We start from the raw sequence: 7680 nt of genomic DNA, 5'->3' as shown, positions 1-7680 counted from the left end.
TTGGGAGGCTGAGGTGGGTGGATCACCTGAGGTCAGGGGTTCAAGACCAGCCTGGCCAATATGGCGAAACCCCCATCTCTACTAAAAATACAAAATTAGCTGGGCGTGGTGGTGCATGCCTGTAATCCCAACCATTCGGGAGGCTGAGGCAGGAGAATCACTTGAACCTGGAGGTGGAGGTTGCAGTGAGCCAGAATTGCGCCATTGCACTCCAGCCTGGGTGACAGAGCCTGACTCCATCTCACAAAAAAAAAAAAAAAAGAAAAAGAAATAGGGTGAATGCAGATGTAATTAGTTAAGGGTCTTGAGATGAGGTTGTATTGGATTTAGGGTGGGCCTTAAACCCAATGACAGAGGAGAAGACAGAGACACAGAGAGGAGACAGAGCCTGGAGCGATGCAGCCTCAAAGCGAGGAACACCTGGAGCCACCAGAGGCTGGAAGGGGCAGGAAGGATCCCCACAGAGACCTTGGAGGGAGTGTGGGTGGCCCTGGCAGACACCTCAATCTCAGACTTCTGACCTCCAGAACAGTGAGAGAATCAAGTTCTGTGGTTGAAGCCACCCAGTCTGCAATACTTTGCCATGGCAGTCCTAGGACATTAACCCAGCTGGCATGTGGTGGCGTTGGGATTTGAACTGTGAAGATTGATCATCTGAACTGGGTCATTCTTGTCATACTCAACTAAAACAGCGTCAAGAGGCCAGGGGGGAAAAACTGACACAGAACCATGCTCCAAAAATGTCATTCTCCGCAAGCCCCAAGGCTGGCACTGCTGCTGTAATTTGAGGCCAGTTTTCTGTACAGCTGCTGAGATAGCTCACTGCAACCCTAGGACTAATTTTGCCCACCTCTATCACCTGTCAATCAGAGCTTCCCAGGTTCCCTTCCTGGGAACCTCACTAGCACCAAGGATCTTTCTCAAAGAGCAGTATGTGCTGGGTGTGGTGACTCACACCTGTAATCCCAGCACTTTGGGAGCCTTGAAGCAGGAGGATCACTTGAGGCCAGGAGTTCAAGACCAGCCTGGGCAACATAGCGAGACCTCATCTCTACAAAAACAAATAAAATTGGGCCGGGCGCAGTGGCTCACGCCTGTAATCCCAGCACTTTGGGAGGCCGAGGTGGGTGGATCACCTGAGGTCAGGAGTTCGAGACCAGCCTGGCTAACATGGTGAAACCCCGTTTCTACTAAAAATACAAAAAATTAGCCAGGCGTGGTGGCATGCGCCTGTAATCCCAGCTACTTGGGAGGCTGAGGCAGGAGAATCACTTGAACCCGGGAGGCAGAGGTTGAAGTGAGCTGAGATCGCGCCATTGCACTCCAGCTTGGGCAACAAGATCAAAACTCCATCACAAAAAAAACAAAAACAAAACACACACACACACACACACACGCACACACACAAAGAAAATTAGCTAGCGTGGGCCGGGCATGGTGGCTCACGCCTGTAATGCCAGCGCTTTGGGAGGCCAAGGCGGGTGGATCACCTGAGGTCAGGAGTTCAAGACTAGCCTGACCAATATGGCGAAACCCCCATCTCTACTAAAAATACAAAAATTAGCTGGGCATGGTGGCACATGCCTGTAATTCCAGCTACTTCGGAGGCTGAGGCAGGAGAATCACTTGAACCCGGGAGGTGGAGTTTGTGGTGAGCCAAGACTGGGACATTGCACTCCAGCCTCGGCAACAAGAGCGAAACTCCATCTCAAAAAGAAAGAAAGAAAGAGAAAATTAGCCAGCATGGTGGTGCGTGCCTGTAGTCCCAGCTACTTGGGACGCTGAGGCGGTAGGAGTACTTGAGCCTGGGAAGTCCAGACTGCAGTGAGCTATGATTGAGCCACTGCACTCCAGCCTGGGCAACAGAGTGAGACCCTGTCTCAAAAAAAAAAAATTAATTCTAAGAGCAATACGTAACATTTCCCTTCTCTCTCTCTCTCTCTCTCTCTCTCTCTCTCTTTCTCTGTAAAACCTCCTACCTCCATTTTGTTCTTGGACAAACCTAGTCAGTGTGAATGCCCCGAATTACAGTTCTGTCTTCCCAAATAAAACACTGTATTTTCTTTATTTTTTTTTTTGAGATAGGGTCTCGCTTTGTCACCCAGGCTGGAGTGCAGTGGTGCAATCTTGGCTCACTGCAACCTCCATCTCCCGGGTTCAAGCGATTCTCCTGCCTCAGCCTCCTGAGTAGCTGGGATTAAAAGTGTGCACCACCACGCCTTGCTAATTTTTGTATTTTTGGTAGAGACGGGGTTTCACCGTGTTGACCAGGCTGGTGTCGAACTCCCGACCTCAAGTGATCCGCCCACCTCGGCCTCCCAAAGTGCTGGGATTATAGGCGTGAGCCACCCCACCCCACCCAATTAAAACGTTTTAATTTCAGAGATTCGTCTCTGCATTTTTCTTTCTTTCTTTTTTTTTGAAATGCAGTCTTCCTCTGTTGCCCAGGCTGGAATGCAGTGGCGTGATCTTGACTCACTGCAACCTCCACCTCCTGGGTTCAAGCGATTCTCCTGCCCCAGCCTCCTGAGTAGCTAGGGCTACAAGCATGCTCAAGTGATCCACCTGCCTTGGCCTCACAAAGTACCTGGCCCTGCATTTTTATCATGACTTCAAAGAACCCTGATTTACCAAATCAGAGTGGACACAGGTCTTGAGCTCCTTAATACTGGAAAGAAGCCCTAAGAATCGAGCCTCTTACCTCTGTGATGCTGCATGCAAAATTCTCCCTGCTGTTCAAATAGCCCAGGCCCCTCACTGTGTCCCCGGGCCTGCCCTCGGCCTGCAGGCTAAGGCTCTGAGCCTGTGGCCTGGAAGGGGCTGCTCTGGGCAGGAGATGAGGAAGGAAAGCCCTGGCCGCTCCTTCTGGGCACACTTCCTCGACGGTGACAAGGCAGCCGCGTGGCCAGAGGGGCAGGGGCTTAGGCTGAGTGTGTTTTCTCCTTGCAGTTCAGGGCGAGGTCTGGATTTGCCACGGCTGTGGCCTGCAGGGCTTGTGGCCAGCAGGCTCCCAGGAGGCCCTGCTGGGTGGTACTTAAGTGAGTGATAAATGAGATGGACTGTCTGCATCGATCCACCCTGGGCCTCACAGAATGGGAACTGTCGGATAGATACTGTGGCTGCCCAGGAGACGGGGCCTTCTGGGAGCAGCTGTTATCGTGGCTGCAGCTGCCTCGGCCCCCACCACTCAGGCAGGCCTTGGCCATAGTCGTGGTGGGGAAGCACCCAGGCCCTGTAGCTCAAGGGCTCCAGGCCGCCCACCCAGATCTGCGTGATCAGTTTCACAGCAGCCCCCACACCACCCTCCTGGGGAAAGGCGGGAACGTAGCATCATCTGCTGACTCAGTGGATTCCAGGGGGACCCTGCTCCACCAGCTCCAGGATAATCCTCTCCAAGCGGGACCAAGGCCAGGAAGTGTGTTCGTTTACTTCTTACTCTCTCTTTTCAAAATGGCTTTATTTAGGCCTGGTGTGGTGGCTCACACCTATGATCCCAGCAATTTGGGAAGCCGAGGCTAGTGGATCACTTGAACTCAGGAATTCGAGACCAGCCTGGCCAAAAAGGTGAAACCCTGCCTCTACTAAAAATACAAAAATTAGCCGGGTATGGTGGCGCACGCCTGTAGTCCCAGCTACTTGGGAGGCTGAGGCATGAGAATCGCTTAGACCCAGGAGACGGAGGTTGCAGTGAGCTAGGATTGAGCCATTGTACTCCAGCCTGGGTGACAGAGTGAGAACCTGTCTCAAAAAAAAAAAAAGGCTTTATTGGTTGAGCACGGTAGCTCTCACCTGTTATCCCAGCACTTTGGGAGGCTGAGGTGGGTGAATTCCTTGAGGCTGGGGGTTTGAGACCAGCCTGGCCAACATGGTGAAACTCTGTCTCTACTAAAATTGCAAAAATACAAAAAAATTAGCTGGGCGTGGTGGTGCATACCTATAGTCCCAGGTACTCGGAAAGATGAGGCAGGAGAATCACTTGAACCCAGGAGGCAGAGGTTGCAGTGAGCTGAGATCATGCCACTGTACCCCAGCATGGGTGACAGACCCAAACTCTTAGCTCCAAAAAAAAAAAAAAAAAAAGACAGAGTCTCATTATGTCACCCAGGCTGGAGCGCTATGGGACAATCACAGCTCACTCCAGCCTCAAAATCTTTGGCTGAAGTAATCCTCCTGCCTCAGTCTCCTGAGTAGCTGAGACTACAGGTGTGCACCACCATGCCCGGCTAATTTTTGTGTTTTTTGCAGAGATGAGGTATCGCTATGTTGCCCAGGCTGGTCTCAAACTTCTAACCTCAAGTGAGCCTCCTGCCTCAGCCACCAAAGCGCTGAAATTACAGGTGTGAGCCGCCATACCTGGTCTGCACTTGAAGCTTTTGAACTGTTTACTGCTTGATGTCCAGAAATGGCCACATTCTCAGTATTGGTGCTTTCGCTATTGTCACTTTGCCACCTCCTCTTCCTCTTGGTCATCTTGGGGACTTGAACACAGGACAGAGGAGCCAAGGCTGTCTTCCTGGTTCACACGCTCTCCTTGTCAGGGGGCAGTAGGCTGTGTATTTGAGTTGCTAACCACTAAGAAGGAATACAGCGATGACGGGAGGGGGTCCCTGAAGACTTAGCTAACACAGTGAAGCTGGCAGGGCGCTGTGGTTCATGCCTATAATCCCGGCACTTTGGGAGGCCGAGGTGAGCAGATCACTTGAGGTCAGGAATTCGAGACCAGGCTGGCCAACATAGTAAAACCCTGTCTCTAGTAAAAATATGAAAATCAGGCGGGGATGGTGGTGCACACCTGTAATCCCAGCTACTCGGGAGGCTAAGGCAGGAGAATCGCTTGAACCTGGGAGGCGGAGGTTGTGGTGAGCCGAGGTCATGCCACTGCATTCCAGCCTGGGCAACAGAGGGAGAGACTCCATCTCAAAAAAATAAATAAATAAAAAGTAAACACAGTGTAGCTGTGGAGCACGGCAGGGCACTCACAGGGGAGCAAGAGCCCCCAAGGCCTATTTCTGCAGTGAGGAAGGTGTCGGCCTAAACAGAAGAGATAGAAAATCGCCAGGCTCCCTGGGAAATGACTGTGTTCAAAATCAAACAAGCAATCTTGGTCAAAAAGACAGGGGAGCACCTGATAGGGTCAGGCTTTGGGAGGCTGTGAGAATAGTGAGTTCAGAGTTTGCATGAGCAAATTGGGTTTACACAGTTCTGCATGGCAGATGATGGGAATTTTCTGAAAAACCCAGGAGAAAATTATATTTAGATGTCATATTCTAAATACATCCTCTAGGATCCTGTGACTGTGTCTGCAAAAATGAACAAAAAATCTTTTATTTCCTTCCATTCACGGGTCCTGTCAAATATCTGTGGATCGTAAAGTGTCCCACACTCAAGAAAACTGTGGAGTGGACCTTGAAGGGCTTCCCCACCTGTGCAGGAGGGAAGACTCACAACAAACTGCAGGGTGGCCAGAGAGAACTCCTGACCTCAAATGATCTGCCCACCTCAGCCTCCCAAAGTGCTGGGATTGCAGTCGTGGGCCACCGTGCCTGGCTGTATTCTGCTTTTCAGACTTAGTTCAGTCTGTGTTATATCATGTGTACTGCCACATGGGATGGGCTTTTACTTTTATTTTCTATCTTTTTTTTTTTTAAAGACAGAATCTGTCCTACTGCCCAGACTGGAGTACAGTGGTGAGATCTTGGCTCGCTGAAACCTCTGCCTCCCAGATTCAAGCGATTCTCTTGCCTCAGCCTCCCGAGTAGCTGGGATTACAGGTGCTCACCACCATGCCCGGCTCATTTTTGTATTTTTAGTAGAGACAAGGTTTTGCCATGTTGGCCAGTCTCGTCTTGAACTCCTGACCTCAGGTGATCGGCCCACCTCAGCCTCCCAAAGTGTTGCAATTATAGGCATGAGCCACCATGCCCAGTCTTCTATCAATATTTTTATTGTATTTATTTATAAGAGACAAGAGTCTTGCTCTGTTTCCCAGTCTGGAGTGCAGTGCTGATTGTAGCTCACTGCAGCCTCGAATTTCCAAGTTCGAGCAGTTTTCCTGCCTCAGTCTCCTCTGAGTAGATGGGACCACAGGTGCACACCAACACACCTAGCTAATTTTTCTTTTAATAAGAGACGGTGGTCTCAGCCGGGCGCAATGGCTCATACGTGTAATCCCAGCACTTTGGGAGTCCGAGGCGGGTGGATCACGAGGTCAGGAGTTCGAGACCAGCCTAGCCAATATGGTGAAACCCCACCTCTACTAAAAAAATACAAAAAAGTAGCCGGGTGTGGTGGCAGTCGCCTGTAGTCCTAGCTACTCGGGAGGCTGAGGCAGAAGAATCGCTTGAACCCAGGAGGCGGAGGTTGCAGTGAGCTGAGATTGTGCCACTGCACTCCAGCCTGGGTGACAGAGCGAGACTCCGTCTCAAAAAAAAAAAAAAGCGGCAGCAGGAAAGGTGGTCTCACTGTGTTGCCCAGGCTGGTTTCAAACTCTTGGGCTCAAGTGATCCTCCTGCCTCGACCTCCCAAAGTGCTGGGATTACAGGTGTATACCACCACGTCTGACTAATTAAAAAAAAATATTTTCATGCAGATGGGGTGGGGTCTCCTTATGTTGCCCAGGCTGGTCTTGAACTCCTGGGCTCAAGCAGTCCTCCTGCCTTAGCCTCCCACAGTGCTGGGATTATAGGCGTGAGCCACCATGCCTGGACATCAGTATTTTTTTTTATTTTTTGAGACAGAGTCTCACTCTTGTGGCCCAGGCTGGAGTGCAGTGGTGCAACCTCAGCTCACTGCAACCTCTGCCTCCCGGGTTCAAGTGATTCTCTTGTCTCAGCCTCCCAAGTAGCTGGGATTATAGGCTCGTGCCCTCACACCTGACTAATTTTTGTATTTTTAGTAGAGATGGGGTTTCACCATGTTGGCTGGGCTGGTCTCGAACCCCTGGCCTCAAGTGATCTGCCTGCCTTGGCCTCCCGAAGTGCTGGGATTACAGGCGTGAGCCACCGCGCCTGGCTGTCAGTATTTTTAAATGGTTGAATGCCATTCCACTGCCTGCCTGTCTCCCACCACTGACCCTGCTGGCGGTTGGTGGTTTGGGTGATGATGGTGTTTTGCTGTCATAATTACCAAAGCAGGCAGTGTCTCTGTTTTGCTTACAGAACTTCTATCACATCGGAAATTATTTTCTTATTTACTTTATTTTTTTTTTTTTACAAAAAAGTAGGGGAAGGCTCCCAGCCGTGGGTTTTCTGATCAAAGGGAAAGAAACAGTTACTGGTTTTATCTGATTATAACAGTAATTTGGAAGATAAAAGAAAAATCCATTCAGGCCTTTTTTTTTCTGCTGTCATTTCCTTTTGTTCCCCCGTGGGTACAGCTGCAGGGACATGTACCAGGAGCTGCAGCTATCTGCTTAATGACAGATCCCAGAGATAAGGGGACAGCGCCACTAACATTCCTTCAGCGCCTAAGATGCCTCTGATTCCAGAAGGATGACTTGCATTAAAGAGTTCAGCAGCAACAAGAAAATAAAACACACAGACACACACATACACACACAAACACACATACATATATATAGTCTCCCCCCCCAAAATGGGGATTAAACTGTATATTCTTTTTCCCTAGAACATGCCATTTTTTGTTTCTTTTAATGCTCTTTGCTTTGACTTTCATTTTGGA

This window comes from Homo sapiens, chromosome 7, assembly GCF_000001405.40.
Source record: "Homo sapiens chromosome 7, GRCh38.p14 Primary Assembly".
Classification (NCBI taxonomy): domain Eukaryota; kingdom Metazoa; phylum Chordata; class Mammalia; order Primates; family Hominidae; genus Homo; species Homo sapiens.
Note: the sequence above shows the minus strand (reverse complement) of the source record.